Source organism: Homo sapiens, chromosome 9, assembly GCF_000001405.40.
Source record: "Homo sapiens chromosome 9, GRCh38.p14 Primary Assembly".
NCBI classification, from domain to species: domain Eukaryota; kingdom Metazoa; phylum Chordata; class Mammalia; order Primates; family Hominidae; genus Homo; species Homo sapiens.
In genome coordinates this window covers 4,014,947-4,035,794 of record NC_000009.12, presented here as the reverse complement: position 1 = coordinate 4,035,794, position 20,848 = coordinate 4,014,947, and the positions used below count along the sequence as shown (strand labels likewise).

The 20,848-nt window shown below is 40.8% G+C and overlaps 1 protein-coding gene across 12 annotated transcripts in view; it reads left to right on the top strand.

Annotated features, from left to right (window-relative positions):
* The window catches only part of GLIS3 (GLIS family zinc finger 3), a 666,339-nt gene that overhangs the window by 454,671 nt on the left and 190,820 nt on the right, over nt 1–20,848 (top strand). The window lies entirely within an intron of this gene.

Below are 20,848 nucleotides of genomic sequence, written 5' to 3'. Positions count from 1 at the left end.
CGTTTGGGTCAAGTACAGGAAGACCGATGTGGTGGAAGGCAAGACAGGAAGGAGGGTTAGTATGAGTCTGTGCCTTCTAGGAAGTTGGATAGTTTCTGAGGAGGGGCCATCCCTGACCCGTGCTTTGGGAAGCTTATTCTGGCACCAGGTGGAGATGTATAACAGAAACAAGAGTTACATGGAGGAGATGAGTTAGGGCACTGCTGCAGTAACAGAGAAGAGAAGTGACTAGAGCCTCAACTAGGCCACTGGCAGGGGGAAGGGAAAGCAGAAAATGGAGAATCCATGGGAGCTAAAGTTAAAGAATGTGGCCAGATGTGGAAATTTAAGTAGGAGAGAGATAGAAGGTGGAATACGAGATAGGTGAGAGGTAGCTTTGGGATATTCTGGGGTTGTCAAACATGCAGGGATCCAGTTGGACCTTCTGGAGCCTTCTGTTTTTGCTACAGTATAATACACTGGTCAGGAGCTTTTACTTTAGTTAACTAGACCTGGTTTTGAATCATGGCTCACTATCTGTAGGATCTTCTAACAAGTAATCCAAGTCTTAATGCTTTCACCTGTAAAATGGAGATAACATTTGCCATAAAAGGTTATAGTGAAGATGAAATGAAAACGTGCACATTTGGAAACTGCTTAGCACTCTGTACAGCTGTAGTAAGTGGTCTTGTTGAGATTATTTCTACTCCTAGTACTTTTAGACTAGTGTTGCTGCTTCTTTTCAAGTTTCTGCTTTATTGTCTCATCTGCAGTTCTTCTATCAGAAGCAAACATATTCAGAAACTCCGTGTCCTGGCTCGCTTAGCAATAATAGTACACATAGCAGTGTGGTGAAGTCAGGCACCCTCCTGCTACTACAAGAGAATATGAAGTAACGAAGATCCCCCCTGCCACACACACATTTGTGTTTTGGTCCCCCTCACCACTCACCCTCTGAAGAAGAAGGTCATTCTAAGACACCAAGTGACATTCAGGTTCTGAAGGCAAGATTCCATACTCTGGGGTGTGAGGAATTGTGCTGTTGAACTCTTCCCCCAAGAAGTGCTCAGGTTGAGGTTAAAGGGCTCCTGAGGGCAGAAAGGCAGATACTGTCAAAAAAGAGAGTTCCTGTGATCCCGGTGTCATGTGGCTCCCCAAACAATTTCTTGAAGACTTGTAAATGTGGCAGTCTGCAAAAGCAGCAGCAGAAGTGACAACTGGGAAAAATTGTGATACCGCTTTCTGTGAATCCCCGAGGACAGCCAACACGACCAAAGGATCCCTGAAGGGTCAGTGAATTGTTATAACATTCCTAATTATCAGGTGTTGTGGGCTGAGCTTCTTACTGGGAAATTCTCTCCTTAATTAACATATCCCTGCTCTGAACATGCTTACAGGTCTCTGCTAATTCAAGAAACAAGGGGGAAAACATACCAGGAGCTCTGGTTTAATTGAAAATATAATAATTAGGTTATGGAATCCTGCTTTTGATTATAGAAACAGACTTTTTTTTCTGTTTCTAACTTGTTTTCTGTTGGTATTATGCCTTGATAGAATTAATAAAGTTTCTGGGGATCTGTTACGACTTTTTTTTGAGACAAGGTGCTACTGTGTTGCCCAGGTTGGAGCACAAGTGGTGTGATCACTGAGACTTGACCTCCTGGGCTCAAGCAATCCTCTTACATTAGACTCCTGAATAACTGGGACTGCAGACATGCACCACCATGCCCAGCCAATTTTTTAACTTTTTTTTTTTAATAGAAATGGGGTCTCACAATGTTGCCTAGGCTGTTATTGAATTCCTAGGCTCAAGGAATCCTCCTGCCTCAGCCTCCCAAAGTGCTAGAATTATAGTATTACAGTTTTTTAAAACTTTATGGCTTAATCTGAACCCAGAAATGCAGATAGGACCTATCTCATTCTAGTTTTTTTTTTTTTTTTTTTTTTTTTTATCCTTCGCCTATGTTTTTGGGGGCAATTAAACAAATCCTTGTGTTGCCATGTGCATGAAAGGGATTTTAGTTCATCTTAAATAGCTGGCATTCATTTAAGGAGTTAGTAGTCTCTGTATACAGCATCGCCCTTTGATTTGGACAAAATAGGTCCCTGTTTTAGTACCTGCCCTTGAACTTGAATGTGCATAGGAATCACCTAGAGATTTTGATTGAATAGGTCCAGGGTGGAGCCTAGGATTCTCCATTTCTAGCAAGCTCCCAAGGGGAAGTCCATGCTCCTATTTGGAAAACACTTTAAGGAGCGTAGCTTTGAAGGGCCCTATTCTGGCCCTTCTCCATCTTCTCTTTTCCCCATGGGATAGGGAGTCTGCACGTCCAGGAAGGTGTACCTACTTAAAGCCTGTGCTTCCTCCTTCTAGACCTTGCTGTGGATATTTGGGGCCTTAAAATTCTCTACCCAAATGGCCTGGAGCCTTCTTCTGGGGTCTTCTCTGGCTTTTTCTTTAGTTCCATCTTCCTGAAGTGGGTGCGCTGCAGCCTTAAGGGGTGACCAAGGGACAGCTGTTTTGGGTGAGGGAGAAATACCCTTTATGCTATAAGATAGATTTTAGGGTGGAAAGAGAAAGGGTCAAGTCAGGTGTGGGAAGCTCTTCCAGCACTGTGCCATTCTGGTGCAGAACTCTGAGAAGTTCAAGAATTCTCAATTCCAGCCAGGTGTGGTGGCTCACACCTGTAATCCCAGCACTTTGGGAGACTGAGGCAGGTGGATCACAAGGTCAAGAGATCAAGACCATCCTGGCTAACCCGGTGAAACCCCGTCTCTACTAAAAAACAAAAAAATTAGCCAGGCGTGGTGGCGGGCGCCTGTAGTCCCAGCTACTCGGGAGGCTGAGGCAGCAGAATGGTGTGAACCCGGGAGGCGGAGCTTGCAGTGAGCCGAGATTGCGCCACCGCACTCCAGCCTGGGCGACAGAGCGAGACTCTGTCTCAGGAAAAAAAAAAAAAGAATTCTCAATTCCACTTGGCATTCCAGCCTCAGGTTCCTTGAAGAACTTAAAAGGAGAATGCTATTGGCAGTGGGGGCAGGGGCATCCTGGTGACAGAAGTTGGATGTGGTAAGCAGAAACCTCATGGCATAGGGTATATGGGCTTCCATATACTTGCCCCGGGCTGGAAAATGTTGAAGCATGTCTAACTTGAGTGAAGTGCTTTATTCCTTTGTCACTTGACACGTTGCGTATGTTTTCCTTGTTGCACATTAGAAATACTCAAATTTGTTAGGCTGCTACATGATATATAGCTCTACGCCTTCAGTTTGTTTTATGAGCCATTCTGCCATCTCTAAATATATTTGTCAGCTGACAACTTCTTTTAAAAATAAGATTTTTAAAAATATATAAAAATATAAAATTTTGAAAAAAAAGCATTCTATGCAGAAGAAAGTGAGATGATATGCTTTTGCATTTTGTAATTTTTATAGACTTCTGTGAAAGTTGGTTCTTGGTGATTACGCTGCTAAGGACCAAAGTTCCTAGCTGGAATGCAGATTTTAGAGCCAATTCTAAGAAACTTGGGAAGGAATGAAGGGTATTCCGCTGAAACCAGCCCCTCTTGCTCTGCCTTAAATGTTCACCTGCACTTTTGAAACCTCCTCCTGTGTGTAGTGAACGTCTGTGGTTTCAGGGTTTCCACATCCATACATCAGGCAGTCTGCACAGGACTGAAGGCACTTAGATCTGCCTGACGGTGGGTCTCACTTGGTGTCCCTTGCTCTGCAGGGCTGCTCAGGCTGCCTTTGTCTGACCTCCTGATCCCTGTACCCTACCTGCCTAGGCTAAAAGGACCTCCTGGGCTCCTTTGATTTTGCTCAACTTAACCTCCTATCTGTCTAGACTCTTGCTATCTGCTAGGTCTTTCCTGGCTAGCCAGAGTCTAGGCTCCCTGCCCTGTATATATTGGCATGAAAAAATGCGGGTTTAAAAAGAGTTATTTAAAGAAGAGGATTTAAAAAGAACCTTTATTGTATCGCCAAAGAGAGAGGGACTAGAACCATTGGAACAATTTCTAATTGACCTCTCAGTTGAATTGCTTGACTGTTCCATCATCACCTTTATACTTTTAGGAGTATTTTTTTCCTTTGGTACCTATGAGCAGTGTCTTTTTCCCCATCTTTTTGGTTTTTGTTTATCTTTCTCGACATTTTAAGAATGGAAGTGAAATGTGCATGGCATAAAATTAATCATTTTTAAGTCTGTAGTTTGGTGGTATTCAGTACATTTGCAATGTTGTGCAACCATCACTTATATCAAGTTTTGAAACATTATCATCGCCCTAAGATAAATCTACCCATCAATCGGTAGTTCTCCCTTCTTACCTCCTCTCAGCCACAGGCAACTACTAATCTGCTTTTTGTCTCTATGTACTTGCATAATCTGGGCATTTCACATAAATGGAATCATATATTATACGACCTTTTGTGTCTGGCTTCTTCCACTTAGCATGTATTCAAGGTTCATCCACATTGCAGTATGTATCAGTGCCTCATTCATTTTTTATAGCTGAATAATATTCCATTGCATGTACATGTCACATTTTGTTTACCTATTCATTCATCTGTTGATGGAAATTTGGGTTATTTCCACCTTTTGACTATTGTAAATAGTACTGCTGTGACGTATTTGTTTGAGTACCATTTTCAATTCTTTTGGGTATAACATCTAGGAGTAGAATTGTCGGGTCATATAGTAATTCTATTTAACTTTTTGAAGAACTGCCAAACTGTTTTCCACAGCAGCTGCACCATTTTACATTCCTACCAGCAGTGCACGAATGTTCAAATTTCTCCACTTCCTGGCCAACACTTGTTATTTTCCATTTTTTTGGTAGCCATCCTGGTGGTTGTGTTATTTATTGTGGCTTTGATTTGGATTTTCCTAGTGACTAATGATGCCGAGCATCTTTTTGAGCAGCTTTTGATAATGTCAGCACATGATGCTACAGTGTTAGTGACTAAGATTCATTACATTGTAGAATATTTGAAAAGCAGATAAGTCAGCATTTCTGGCTTCATCCTGGTGTCCTGTACTCTTTGTTGACCTCTCAGCGAGTTATGTGAAGTTCCAGTCATGCCATCAAGAGGGATGGGGTCAAAGGTGCCAAGAACACGCTGGGAAACAGACATTCTCTTCAATAAATGGTGCTTGGAAAACTGGATACCCATACGCAGAAGAATGAAAGTTGACCCCTGTCTCTAAAATTCAAAATGGCTTAAAGACTTAAATCTAGGACCTTAAACTGTGAAACTACTACAAGAAAACATGGGGGAAAGTCTCCAGGACATTGGTCTTGGCAGAGATTTCTTGAGCAGTACCCCACAAAACACAGGCAACCAAAGCAAAGATGGACAAATGAGATCACATCAAGTTAAAAAGCTTCTGTATAGCGACCGACAAAGTGAAGAGACAACTCACAGAATGGGAGAAAATATTTTCAAACTACCCATTTGACAAGGGATTAACTACCAGAATATATAAGGAACTCAAATAACTCTAGGAAAAAAATCTAATAATCCAGTCAAAAAATTGGGCAAAATATTTGAATAGACAGTTCTCAAAAGAAGACATACAAATGGCAAACAGGCATATGAAAAGGTGCTCAACATCACTGATCAGCAGAGAAATGCAAATCAAAACTACGAGGCGATATCATCTCACCATAGTTAAAATGGCTTATATCCAAAAGACAGGCAATAACAAATTCTAGTGAGGATGTGGAGAAAAAGGGCCCTTCATACACTGTTGGTGGAAATGTAAATTAGTACAGCCACTGTGGAGAACAGTTTGGAGATTCCTCAAAAAAACAAAAATTGAGCCACCGTAAGATCCAGCTATCAATCCCACTGCTGGATATACCTAAAAGAAAGGAAATCAGTATATTGAAGAGATATCTGCACTCCTATGTTTGTTGCAGCACTGTTTACAGTAGCTAAGATTTGGAAGCAACCAAAGTGTCCATCAACGGATGAATGGATTAAAAAATGTGGTATATATACACAATGTCCTATAAAAAAGAATGAGATCCAGTCATTTGCATCAACATAGATGGAACTGGAGACCATTATGCTAAGTGAAATAAGCCAGGCACAGAAAGACAAATGCCACATGTTCTGACTTATTTGTGGGATCTAAAAATCAATACAATTGAGCCCATGGAAATGGAGAATAGAAGGATGGTTACCATAGGCTGAGAAGGGTGGTGGGGGGCTTGGGAGGGGGACAGGCAGGGATGGTTAGTGGGTCCAAAAAAATAGAAAGAATGCATAAGACCTACTATTCAATGGCACCACGGTGTCACCATAGTCAATAATTTAATTGTACATTTTTAAATAAGTTTAATTGGATTATTTGTAACTCGAAGGATAAATGCTTAAGGGGACGGATAACACATTTTCCATGATGTGCTTATTTTATATTACATCCCTGTATCAACGCATCTCATGTACCCCATAAATATATACACCTACTATGAACCCACAAACATTTTTTAAAAATGATGGGGAGCACACATTTTGGTCTCGGGGGGAAAAGGTCTGCTGGAATTTCTAATCCTGAAGGGCAAATATTGTTACATTTGACTAGATGAGAGTTTCCAAAGTTTGTTTTCTAAGGATTCCAAGGGTTTCACAGGTAGTTTTTAAGGTATTGAGGAGGCTATCAGTAAGACTTAAATGTATTTTGGAGGAAATTACTGGTTTGTGTTTTAAGCTTGGGTAATGGAAACTACTTTTAGAATTAGATCTTTTTTTCTTCTTTCTACAAAATACACCTCCTTCTTCATCATCATCTTGGAGTAGTATGTCTACTTCTCAATCAAGGACCACACAGACAGCACATATAATGTATCTTACCACCTGAATGTGTAAGATTTCTCTGCTTGTTCAACAGTGTTTGCATAAGGAATAAGAGAAGGGAGGGAACCTAACAGTCCTGGCAACATTTATTACCTTTATTATCTTCACTGCTATCAATGTATGTATTTCTTTTTATGGCTTATTATCTCTTTGACTTAGCTCATTAGCTACAAATCCATATAAAATGTTCTGTATTTCCATTTGCCACTTGTATGTGCAGATCTAATTAAAATCTTACTCAATTCAAAAGCAGGAAAAAGTGATCTATAGTGTTGGGATTCAGTTAAGGAATTAGCATTGGGGAAAAATGGCTGGAATTGGGCACAAGGGGCTCCTGGAAGGCTATTGTTTTGTTTTTTGATCTAGGCTACACAGGTATGTCACTTTGTGAAAATTCAGTGAGCTTTACCTTTATGATTTATACTCTTTTCTATATGAATGTTATACCTCAATAACCATTTTACTGAAAAATGAAAAGAGAAAAGCCCTATTTCCTTCTCAGTGTCCTATATGCTCTTGATTTTAATATAAAGGCTGCGTGATTTGAGAAAATGGGAAATCCTTTGGTCCCAAGGAGAGAAGGAAACAAGATAATTGGTTTTTCATTAAGTAGCTCTTTATGAAGTAATGCATTATGCTAGATGTCTTACAAAATGCATGATCTCATTTGATCTTCACAGCAGTCCTGCGAAGTGATGTATGTTATCACCATCTTGCAGATGGAGAAACTGAGGCCCAGAAAATTTAAGATACGTAGGCTCCTATATGTGCATTGGAGTCAGGAATGGACCCTAGAAGTTGTCTAGCTTCAAAATTCTCTATGGCACGTGGTGTCTTTGTGACCTGGTTGATGTTCAATTACTATTTATTTAAAGGATGAATGAGTTACAGGAAGATAAGTACTATGCTGCCGCTGTAGTGGATCCGGGTTGCGCTGGTTTGGTCTAGCATACAACTTTGCATACAGGTCTCTTGGAATGGACTTGACGTGACTCTCACCCACTGGGTTCTACCTTGATCGAGGCTCTGAGCTGGCCTTCAGCTGGACAAAGCTGAGGGGGTTTAAGAGCCACTGACAGATTGATGGCCTATTAGCTGGAGCGTACCTCTCCTACGAGGGTTCCGCCGGGGCTGTCTGTTCTCATTTAGAGACAGGTGTCTGAATGCCTCGTCTGCCTGGAAACTGGCAGAAATAATGGACTGGTTAGGAGGCTGGATAGAACAGGATTCTAGAGAGCTGTCAAATGTGATTGCTGAAATGATTTCAGTATGAGCTTATCAGACTGTTTAGGAACAGAGAACAAGCACAGTACATGTTATTTATGGCATTCACACTCTTGCAGCTAGAAACAAAATATAGCATGTTCCAGGCTCAGATTTAAATTAGAATATTCTGGCATGCATGCACAGATTAACTGAACAATAGAATTGGGAGAAAAAAAGAGCCTCAAACCTAGATGAGGTGGGGGGAGTGAATATGTCTAATTTTACAGTGCATTTTGAAAATGTTTCAGTCCTCAAATGAACTGATTGTCCTTTACCAAATCTGGGAATGAGAAAAGCATCCTAGTATGTCCAATTGTGAACTATTTTAGCAAAACTCCTGCTGTGAATAATTGCTAAATTACACTGTTTGTGAATTACATTGTCTTCTTGTGCCTTAAAGACCTGGTTGGATGGATCTTTCAGAATCTTCTGCAGTCATTGTAGTGACGCTGAAATGGCTAAGCGTTGTTCAGTTAAATAAATGTGTACTTTTAGCCAGGTTGCTAACATTGCATCCCAGTGGATTGTTAACTACTGTGTGAGTGGAACTGATTACACTGCAGTCGGTCAGGTTGTGTTTGTGTCCAAAGGTTTGGCTCACATTTATTGCTGAGAGAAAGATGGGGCAGGGTTGACATGTAAAGGATCCCCATTGCTCTCTCCCTCTCCTTCTCCCTCTCCCACATGTGGCCTTAAATCATGAGACTCCATGGAATTTAGTGTCAGACAGTCTTAGGTTTGACTTCAGCCCCACCTCCTCTCAGGTGTGTAAGTTTTATCTTTGTTTCTCTCTTTTCATCTATAAGAGAGTAACACGACCTTGAAAGGATATTGTGAGGATTAAATGAGATCATATTTACAGTGTTTGGCCAATAGAAGTTAATTTTATCACTTTTACCTCTTTTTCCCCTGATAATTTGAATGGATAAAATGATATTGGTAGAAGTGCTTTAATGCATATCTTAAAAATAGTCCAATAAATATGCTTAAAGAAAAGAGATGTCAAAATATCTACTAGTTAGGTTTAGAAGTATATTATTTATCACAAAATGATCTGTGTTTTATTGAATTACTTTATTTTGAACTGCATTATGTATGCAGATGAATTTTTTTCCTTCTGTCTCATATATGTATACTTAGATAGATAGATAGATAGATTTTTTTCCTCCTTTTTGGGTCATCTCAAATGCTTTTTGGAAAATGGAGAACAATAAAGTTTAAAGTACATAGATTTTTATGCTTTTGTTGAGCTTTCATACTTCAGTGCATGTTAATGAAACTCATTGTAGGCATTGTTGCTTCATGATAACAGAAAAGCATTATTATTCAGATAGTACAATGATAAAAATAATTTGTGTTTGCTAGGAAAAAATTAATGGACCTATGTTTATATGACTTGATGATTGAGACTGGTCTGTAGTCTGTCTAATGACACTGTTTCTCAGTAAATACTACGTGGGTAAATCCACTCTCTTCAACTAAAACTGAGATAGCCACTGGAGTGTTGAGGGCCTCTTTGATTGAATACCTGTGCATTTATAATCTTGATGTTGGAAGAAAGCCTTTGTAGACTAATCATATAGTCTCAGGTTTTTTACTATTTATAATTAATAATGTTAATGTTGTAGGGATTATGATTAGACTCAAAGCATAGATTATGTTAGCAAATTTGTTCTTCCCTATCATGACTTCTACTTTTAAACATTACCTGTAGCATTTTGTCCTAATTATAATACAGAATAACCCAGGTCTCTTTCTCTATTATTTCTCAATAATCTATTGATTATTCCAGAAAAGAGAGCTATTTCATTTATAAAACTCCCCATGGGCAAAAACCATGATTTAAATACTGTTAGTATATTTCTTACCCCTGAATTCTTATGAATATTTTCTTTTGAGTTGATAATAAGACCTCTGTGGCCTATCCTCTGTCCTTAAAATTTTTAATAATTATGTGAGACTCATGATTAATTCTATCATGTGATCTAAAACATGGGCCAGGCCAGGCACAGTGGCTCACACCTGTAATCCCAGCATTTTGGGAGGCTGAGACGGGCGGATCACAAGGTCAGGAGACGCAGACCCTCCTGGCAAACATGGTGAAACCCCGTCTCTACTAAAAATACAAAAATTAGCCAGGCATGGTGGTGGGTGCCTGTAATCCCAGCTACTCGGGAGGCTGAGGCAGGAGAATCGCTTGCACCAGGGAGTCGGAGGTTGCGGTGAGCCAAGATCACGCCACCCCACTCCAGCCTGGCCACAGAGGGAGACTCAGTCTCAAAAAACAAACAAGCAAACAAATAAACCAACCAAGGGTCAAAGCGTTGTATATATGGTCTGATATCTAGAGGCTTTATTTTTCCGTCCATCCATTTGCTCATCCTTTATTTCAGCACATGTTTATTTGAGTACGTTCTTTTCTTTTCTTTTTTTTTTGAGACGGAGTCTCACTGTTGCCTAGGTTGGAGTGCAGTGCCGCCATCTTGGCTCACTGCAACGTCTGCCTCCTGGATTCAAGTGATTCTCCTGCCTCAGCCTCCCGAGTAGCGAGGATTACAGGTGTGCACCACCACGCTTGGCTAATTTTTTGTATTTTTAGTAGAGATGGGGGTCTCGCCATTTTGACCAGGCTGGTCTCGAACTCCTGACCTCAAGGTGATCTGCCCGCTTCGGCCTCCCAAAGTGCTGGGATTACAGGCATGAGCCACCGTGCCTAGCCTTGAGTATGTTCTATTACTCCTCACTGTGCTTAAGTGCTAGGGATCGAGTGATGAACACGACAGGCATGATTACTGCCCTGTGGAGATTACTGAACTGTAGGGGAGATGGATACCAATCTAAGAATCACAGATCTAAATTGGTCATATCTGTGATAAACAGGAGGAAGCAATCTAATCGGTGAAGTTGGGAAAGATTGTGACAATTGAGCTGTTATACAGAAGAAGAAGAATTAAGTAAATCTTGCCTGTAATCTTAAAAGTCCTGGCCTCTGTCTTTGCCCTGTGAATCGGTACAGTTTTATCAGCAATCAGGAAGAGCAGACCTCCTCCCATGCACTCCCTATGTTATGCGAGGCAACCTATCTATCATACACTCTGAGCTTCCCACCAGTAAATCATTGTGAAAAACAGGAGAAATGAAGAGACTGAGTTTCCTGGGCTTCATTTAGTTCTGCCCTAATTAGATTTAAGCAGTGGCCACATGGAGCAGCCCCATCTGTGTCTGCTACCTTGGCTGCTCCAAAAACTAATGGGGCTGATTCAAGAATAAGTGTGTTCCTACAGGGATGCAGAAAAAAAATAATAAATTCTATCCACACAGTCATTATCATGACCTTCATTTTGATTCTTGATGTGATGACAGCCGTATTTGCAGCTCGTACAGCCGTGATGCTAATTAGAATGGAAACACAGCACTTTGGATAAACTTCCTTTTTGAGAAGGTTTATTTAATTCACTGTACAGTCTCGGTCTGAACACCTGCAGACAGACTGGGGGGTTGCATGGATTTGACTGGCTATTAGAGAATTGCCTCGCTCTGGCTCTTGGCATTATCACTTTGGGAAAAATTAACTTTCATGGACTAAGCAGCACTATACAACTCTGCCTCTCAAACCACCTGTGGAGGAGGACCACTGTATTTTTTTTTTTGTTTTTTTTTGTTTTTCCTTCTTAATTTTATCCTCTATGAATGAAACATGGTCTTACTCTTCATGACTAGATTCACCACCCTTGTTTGACAACCCTGGATCCAGCCTATACCCTGTTTAACGAGCATTGAGGCCACCGATCACAGCAAAGTCAAAATGCTGTATGAGTTTTTAAACACTCAGTTTCTGTACTTACCTAATTGAGGGTCAGTAACAAAGTTTGTGAACCAGCACCCTCAGTCACATGGATAAAGGCTTCTGTCTCATTGCAACAGGAAGGAGAGGAGATGGGAGCAAACCTAGAGCTGCTAATTCTTGCTGGTCTCTGACCTCTTGTGGGATGAGCTCTGTGTTGACACCTTCTTTCCCCTTATCCTTTGTCTTGTAGAAAACCTGAAAGTTCAAGCACACAGGATTGCACTTGGCTTTCAGAAGCAATGCTCGCTCTGTGGGCCACAAAATCTAACACGTCTCTTAACACGAAAAGGATTTTGGAAAAGTTCTGAGACTTTCTTGCAGGTGATTTTTCACCCACCGTCTGGAGTTTTTGGCAATCTTTATATGTTTAGGAACAAAAGCAAACATTTCCTTGATGACACTTTTTTGGGGTCTGATGGCCAAGCTAGCAGGCTCACTCTAGATTGTGTTCCAAGGGTTTCTTTGGAAAACAATAAAAAATAGCAGAATGGGGTTTTGTTTAAATTTTCTGAATACTTTCCCTGCCTAATGCTGTGTTGGGTACTGCACAGGACTTAAACTAAAAAGGAAAATTTGTTCTTGAGTACCAGGAACTTAGAATCTAAAACAGATAATGCAGATAGCTCAAACCATGTGTAGCACTGGGTAAGGACTGGCCACTTAAAAAAATTTTTAAGTATATTTTTAAAAAAGATTTGATCACTGGAGTTCAATATGTAAATGCGTACAAACCTATATAATTTGTTTTCAAATATGTTGAAGTTTTATCTGTGTATAGTAAATTACATTCTTTTAGAGAGAGAATGCAATGGGATTTGCAGCTGTGTACCTCCGTGAAATCACCACCATAAACAAGACAACAGAGAGAGCATTTTTATCACCTCCAAAGTTGCCTCATGTCTCTTTTTTATCCAGTCTTCTTTCAGCCCCTGGCCCCAGACAGCCGCTGATCTGGGTTTTGTCACTGTAGATTAGTTTGCATTTTCTAGAATAAATGGTATCATATAGTGTATACTTTCTTGTGTCTGGTTTCTTTCACTACCGTAATCACCTTGGGATATTCATCCATGTTGTTGCATGTATCAGTAGCTCATTTCTTTACCTTGTGGAATACTGTTTCACTGGGTGGATGCATACTGTATTTTGTTTATCCACTTCCCTGTGGGACCGTTTCCAGTTTTTGACTATTGTGAATAAGAAGTCCATGAACACTTGTTTACAAGTCTCACTGTGGACAGATGTTTGCATTTCTCTGGGGCAAATTACTAGGAATGAGATGGCTGGGTCATAGGGTAGGCTTATGTTTAACTTTTTAGGGAATCAGGACAGGGCATTTTTGCTAAATCCAGCCACCAAGCAGTGCATACATATTTGCATTTTAGAAAGTTTAATATTTTTTGCATAAATGGATAGAACCAGGTTGGGGACTGGATAAGGATTTTTCCATTAAAAACGCATGCTGAAAATGTGCTTTTATAAAATATGCTCTTAAAAAGGGGGAAAACCTAAAATATGAATGGAGTGAATTATAATCATCAAGGTATCAAACCAAGCGCAGGACCTGAGATGTAAGCTGTAGCATTTCCTAGCCATGCAGTGTGCATCAGCTGCTTAATCTCTCTAAGGCCTCTTTTTGCTTACCTGTGAAATAGGGATGATATTAGTGGGCTGACATTTTAGCAGGCTGCTGTAAGAATTAAATGAGAAATTCTATCTAATGGTCCTAACACAATGCCTAGGCATAGCAAGTCTTTAGACATTAAGTTGTCACCACCTGTCTTATATTTAGGGAGGGATTTGATTAAACCATCTGAGAAGTGCCTAAGTGCTTTGGAGACTAAAAACAAACAAACACACTAACCGAGCCGCTATTTAACATGTTTTGTTTGTGACTGTGTGTGTCTGGTTTCTACTCTTTGGCTAAGGAGGGTACCCAAATAACCGCTGGGGGAGCTTCAAATGTTAGAGATATGTTGTGCCCGATAAACTGAAAAAACTATTGCTTTGTGAATTCCCCTGGTGAAGCCCAGCTGGTCACATGCTGGAAAAATTTCAGGAAGCTTGGCAAGTGTTTTTGCAGCTTGTTTCTGACAGAATACCTGGATACTTCTTAGAGCTAGCTCAAGGAAAGTCTCTAAGCCCCAAGGTATCCCAGGAGGAACGGTGGCAGTAACCTCATTCTGTTAAGTGCAATGTTATATTAATTGAAAATGAGGTTCTACCAGTGTTCAACTGTTGAATAGGAAAGCTGACTAATGTACAATGGATGCTTATATTTGTAAAGCACAAAATAAAGAGAATTTACCCAAGCCTTGAAGTTACCACATATCAAGCAGATATGAAGCTACAGATTGCCGTATTCTGTGATGATTTGCTGTGTATAGGATACAATCTTGTCTCTACCTGATGGTGGCATTAACTTATTAAACTAAACATTAGTTAGCTAAGTTTGATTAGGATAGGTTTTGCAAAGGACCATGAGAAATCTCTTATTCAGTTGCATCAAAACCACATATAAAATGTTATAAATCATTTAAAAATGAATATGAATTATTGATTCAGGTTTGTTCTTTGATAGCCCACATTATGTGGTTTGAACCATCCTCCAAAGTTGGTTTTTATCTCTAATGTAGTGTCATATAGTGTGTATACACATATACATATACATATACATATACATGTACAGATATTATAGCATACTATAGTATATACACTTTGTATGATGTAGTAAAATGCTGAGGTGACAGTTTCAGAGACTTTCTGAGCTCTTTGAGGGACTTATCCAAGAACTGCAGATGCTCAGTTCCTGTTAGTCTTGAACAAGTCCTGCATCTGAACTGTGTCTTTTTCAATCCCTAAGACCGACTACTTTCTCTAGCGCATAGAAGTCTCTGTGCTGCTCTATTTTTGGAACTGTGTGCAGGTGGAAGTTGATTTGTGGTGAGTGTTACTGTGGCTGTGATCAGGAGATACACGACCAGTATCATTTGCTTACGTCAGGGTGGCAGCAAGAGAGAATTTGAAACACAGTCCTCCATGTGTGCTGCTGGTAATTATTTGCTTTGTTCTTGCAGCTCGACACTAATTCTTGTAGTATCAGACATTTATAATCTGACACCGTGTAAATAATTGGGAGAAGTCTAAAATGCATCTCATAGCTGGAAGCTCAGGCTTTTACTGCAAAATCTGTTACATCTCAAGATTAGAACAAAGGTGAAAAGCCTGATGACAGAATCCATGTCACTGCATAAGTATGTGGTTTATGCCTCTTAGATTGCACATAAAGCCAACCTAACTGGTTGAAAGGATGAAAAACACATCATGCTCTTATACTAAGCAAAAGGGTTGGTGAAATTTTTTCAAATTGACCAGGTGTTTGGGTACGATGTAAACGCAAGCACTCAATGAACAGCATGCTTGGTTTGAGAGGGGCCTTGACAACCCACATCTCTGCCAGGAAGAGTGGCAGTGTGCTCACAGCACCCAAGCCTTTTTTGCACCAGTCTTAAGAAAAAAACAAAACAAAACAAAACAAAAAAAACAAAACAAACAGAACTTTCCCTTAAGTTACCCTCCCCTTTTACAGCCATTCCTACCACAAGGGCAGCTGTTCCTGCTGCACACCAGGAGGAATGCCCCTGACTTAGCTTCCTTGCATGGGCTGTTCCCTTTGCTTTGAACTCTCTTCTCCTGTTACCCACTTTCTGACTCTCTCACCTCCTTCAAGGCTTTTCTCAGACGTCACCTTCTCCATAAGGTCTACTGTTAACATTGTATTTAAAATTGTAGGCTAGGTGCAGTGGCTCATGCCTGTAATCCCAGTGCTTTGGGAGGAGGTGGATCACTTGAGGCCAGGAGTTCAGGACCAGCCTGTGTAACATAACAATACCCCGTCTCTACAAAAAAAATTTATATGTTAGCCAGATGCTAATTTTTTAAGTGGCATGCACCTGTAGTCGTTGCTACTTGTGGGGGACTCGTGGTGGCCTGAGGCAGGAGGATTGCTTGAACCCAGGATTTCGAGGTTACAGTGAGCTGTGATTGCCCCACTGCACTCTAGCCTGGGCAACAGAGTGAGACACTGTCTCTAAAAGTAAATAAATAAAAATAAAAATAAAATTGCAGCTGGCATCTTCCCATGAGTCTCACATTGTCGATCTCCCTTACCCTACTCTAATTTTTCTTTTCTTTTCCTCCATAGCACTTATCTGTGTGTAGCATGCTATAGGCTTTACTTATTTACTATGTCTCCTGCCTGTTGTTGATTTCCCCTGCCTTTCCTCTCCACTGCCCTCTCTGAGAGCAGAAGTCTTCGCTGCATTGTTCACTGACAGTGCAAGTGGCACATAGTAGGCACTCAATACATATTTGCTAAGTGAGCATATTTATGGTGTGAGTGCTGAAAAAATATACATAGTGGGTGGTACAGCTGCCAAACAGTGAGGCTGTGTGATATAATCACAGATCTACATGTGGTGTCTATTCCTACCTCTGTATTTCTTTGCTGGCTCTGTGATGTCAGGCAAATGACTTAACCTCCTGGGCCACCATTACCTTCTAATGATCCTCGAGGATGATTGTGAGGGACAAAGGAGTCACAAAGATGAGAGCACCGTTTAAACTTTAAACGCCATTCCATAAGAACTTCCATCTTTTGTTATCAAGCTTTAATGTTCCAAAGAGTGAACATTCTTTATATTTTCATCTAATTCCTAACCCCATCCTTCATCCCGCATCAAATGGATTGAACTAGTGTTCATCAACTTCCTGCTTAATGACACTGTGCCAGGTGCTTGACTCACGTCACCTTCTTGCCCCTCACCAGCCCTGCGTGAAGTGACTGCTGTTACCTCATGCCTTAATAGGACTTCGAGACCCAGAGGGGGCACACAGAGTAAAATACCTGGAATTTGAACCTCAGCCTGTCACATTCAAAGATTATTCACACTTGCTTTTCTAAGCGAGAACACAGGATCTTTCTTTTCTAGTCAGGGAAAACTGGTCTCATTAGCTTGTCCCCATTTATATTCTTTCCCTCCATTGCAGTGATTCCCAAGGGGCATGGATCAGAATCACTGGGGAAACTTTCTTTTTCCAAGTGTGTATACCTGCCTTCCAGGGGATTGGGCATCACTGACAAAGCTGTTCCTAAGGGACTATCATATCTCAGAGTTTAGGTGGAACGCAGTTGAGAACCATTGCTCCTTTGATTTGGAAACTACTCTGTGTCACCCTCCGCAGCTTTTCCCTTCTTGAAACCCACTAACCCCAGTCAAGATCCCAGTGATAGCCAAGAACCTGTGAAGCCCCTTACCTTTTCTTCTGTTTAACAGGGTTAATTTAATTCCAAAGATGATAAACAATGACTTGAAAAGTACACCCCAAGTGTTCCTTTAGTTTATGGGAAACAACCAGCAAGAGAAGTAATTCATCTTGCTTTCTTCCTTAGTGACTTCTCTTTCAGCTGTGGGTTCTGGGGACAGATATGTGCATCCCTGCCCCGAGGCTGCCAGAGCCAGTCCTGTGTAACCAAGGAGAGAGGATAAAGAAGCAGAGCCTAGAAGTTATTTCTAAACCTCACCCTAATTGCTCATTTTATATTCAGTTCTCCTCCTGTGAGGATGTGACAAAGGCCTAGCAAGCAGTCAAGTTGATTTCAGTTTTCCTACCTCCTTTCCTTTCTTCCTGCCTTCCTTTTCAGATGACTTTATAATTGTGATTCCTTTATCGGAAGAGTTTTGTCTCTCTTTCAATCCAAGATTCGAAAATGCACGTGTTTATGAGGATTATCACAGCACTGAGATGTAGTTGTGTTTTATTAGAAGTAGGTTCCCCAGTAAGGGGCTGGGCCTTGGGACAAGGCCTGCCCCCTTGGCTGGTAGGGAAGTTGCCATATTAAAAAGACATTAGTTTCAATCAGCGTGGTCAATTCATCTCACAGTCCTGCTGCCCATATTCCAATTACATACTGAACTGACTGACCTTTGCAATCACACAGCTTCTGCTGAATTCTTTTCATCAGAGACTTAGTGCCCGTCCTTCAATATTGTTGAAAAACTACCACTTTGGAAGCATGTATTTTTAGGAGGGGTATATCCCCTGCACATTCTTGGATTTCTCTACCAACACTCTGATACCAGGCTATGCATCCTGGGTTCTATCTTTGTCTGTGACTCTTCTCCTCCTGAAAATCCCCACAAACTTAACTGTGTGTCTAAACCCTCGCCACCTTTCACAGCCTCTCTCTGATCATCTCTACTCTGGGAAGACTTCTAAGACTACTTCTGCTCAAAGAGAGATGTCTCCCTTCTCCAGTTGCTTATGTTTGCCTGGTTTCTATCCCTCATGTGACATTTGTATACTGCCTTGTATTACGCGCGCTCATGTGTGTGTGTGTGTGCACGCAAGCTTCCACAGATTGCCAACTTCTTGGACAGTGTATCTTTTGTCTACTTTGTATCTTTTGCATTCAGCACCCAAATTACATCTTGTGTTGGTTGAAGAAGGACATGCTGCTTGCTATTCCTGCTGCAGAGTATAGACTAGTCAATGAACAGTTAAACCACTCTGACTAATTATAGTTATTTGTCTAGAACTAAACCAGCATCTCTCTTCACCTAAGAAAATGCCTAGCCAACGTACAGAGTCATATACAAAGCCAGTCTGTAGTAAGAACTGACCTTTGCAGATATCTGGGTGGCAGTGTGGTGGGAAGAAGTCTAGAAAAATGTAGTGGTTTCTGAAAGAGAAAGGTTTGCAGAGAATAAAGGCCAAACTGCCCTTCTCAGAAGCACTCAGGACCAGATGACAGGCACATGATGGCCGATTGAATGGTTGTTCCTGGACATTGAAAGCATTTTGCAATGTGATTGTTCGGCTTGTGGATCGGGTGTCAGAAAATCTCTTGGGCTGCGTTACCCAAGAGTGAGACCTCAGCAGTTCCTTGTGCCGTTTAAGTGTTTGTGTTCACTTTAGTTATCATCTGATCATATGCCAGCTGGTAATAGGATTGTAGTGGCTTTGCCCAACAATGGAGTCCTAAAAGAGCTGAGAAAACCTGACAGATTTGGTGAGTGGCAGAATCCTTAGATGTCTCATTTAATGCTGGGTGATTTAGTGCATCCATGTGGAGGAGTGTTTTCAAGTCCACATCAGAGCAGAGCAATTGTGGAAAGACATCAGAGCCTTCCCTGAATGAGATGGCATGAGTGGGCAAAGGCAGTTATTGCAAACAAGCTCAGAAATCTCAAGGCAGAGGAGTTGCATTGTTTTTCAGCATTGGGGAACCTCTCTGTCACCTCACATGAAATCTTCTGAAATGCCCCATTGGCATTTCTGAATTGATGTATTATGTCGAGCTCATCAAGTCCCTTTGTTCTGTTTAGAAATGTATAATTCTTCTTATTTACTTAAATGTAGAATAGAAATGAGAAAGTAAAGGAATCACAAAACTTAAGGTCCCACTATGGAAAGAAAATAAGACAGCTTGGCCAGGAGCTCGTTTTAAGAAACAAAGGGAATTTCAGTAGTTTTGGAGTCTTCCTGACTTCATGGTTAGACTCCATATAATAGAGCTTCAGATGTCCAAGGCTTTTTATGAGATGACAGTGCTATGTGGCCATTGACTTTCTGGGTGAGGGGTGTTTGGGATTAGCCAGTCATTCACTCACTCAGTTTACTTTGAATGTAATGAACTTGGAGTGGAAAACATGACCCATTTTGGATTACCATTTGATGACTTATGCAGAGAAGAAATACTGTGTGTAGGACAGTTGTAATAGTACTATACGCTTAATAGCCTTCCACAAACAACCTTTGAATTCCACAGGCATGTATAATTGAGACAATTTATTAGCTATACAGTATTTACCAAATTCCTATTTATGACGGCCAGGTTGGTTATGACGGTTGTTGTGGAGGAAAATCTTTTTTTTTTTTTTTTTTTTTTTTGAGACAGAGTCTCGCTCTGTCACTCAGGCTAAAGTGCAATGGCGTGATCTCAGCTCACTGCAACCTCCGCCTTCTGGGTTCAAGCAGTTCTCCTGCCTCAGCCTCCCAAGTAGCTGGGATTACAGGCGCCCGCCACCACTCTCGACTAATACTTTGTATTTTTAGTAGAGATGGGGTTTCACCTTGTTGGCCAGGCTGGTCTCAGACTCCTGACCTCAGGTGATCCACCTGCCACAGCCTCCCAAAGTGCTGGGATTACGGGCGTGAGCCACCACACTTGGCTGGAAAATCCCTATTATTGTTGTTGAACTTCTTTTGTAGACAAGATAGATATAACTTCATATTTGGGATGGGAGGATGGGAGAGGGTGTTCTCAGCTTCATGAAAGGTGAAAGTTTTCAGATAGCATGTTATAATATTTCTAGGGTAGACATAGTTCTGTGCATGCTGCAAATGAGAGTTTCCTCTGTCTTTTTTAGACTGTAAATATTTTACAGGTAACATCTCATTAACATTTTGTGAAAGAACCATGACATTGTCTTACTTTGGTATGCGTTTCCAGGAAAGGCAGTGTAGAAGAAAGAAGATTGAGGAGAAGGTTAGACTCTTTACCTGGGCAATTCTCTAATGCTACCAATTTATCCCCTCAAACACCCCCTTCCTCACATCCCTGCACACACGGCCTTCCATGCCATGGTCAGCTAATTCTAATATATCTTTCAGATTTCCTTTCAAATGTCACTTTCTCATGGACACTTTATCTAATCCTCAGGTTAGGTCAAATCCACATGTGCTCTTATTGGACACTATGTTTTCTCTATAGCTTTCACTTTACTAGCAGTTAAATATTTGGTTGTGTAAATAATGGTTTATTATCTATCAATTCTTTTAGAATGAAAGTTCCATGAAGGGAAGGGTCTGTCTTAGTGTTCTTTAATCATT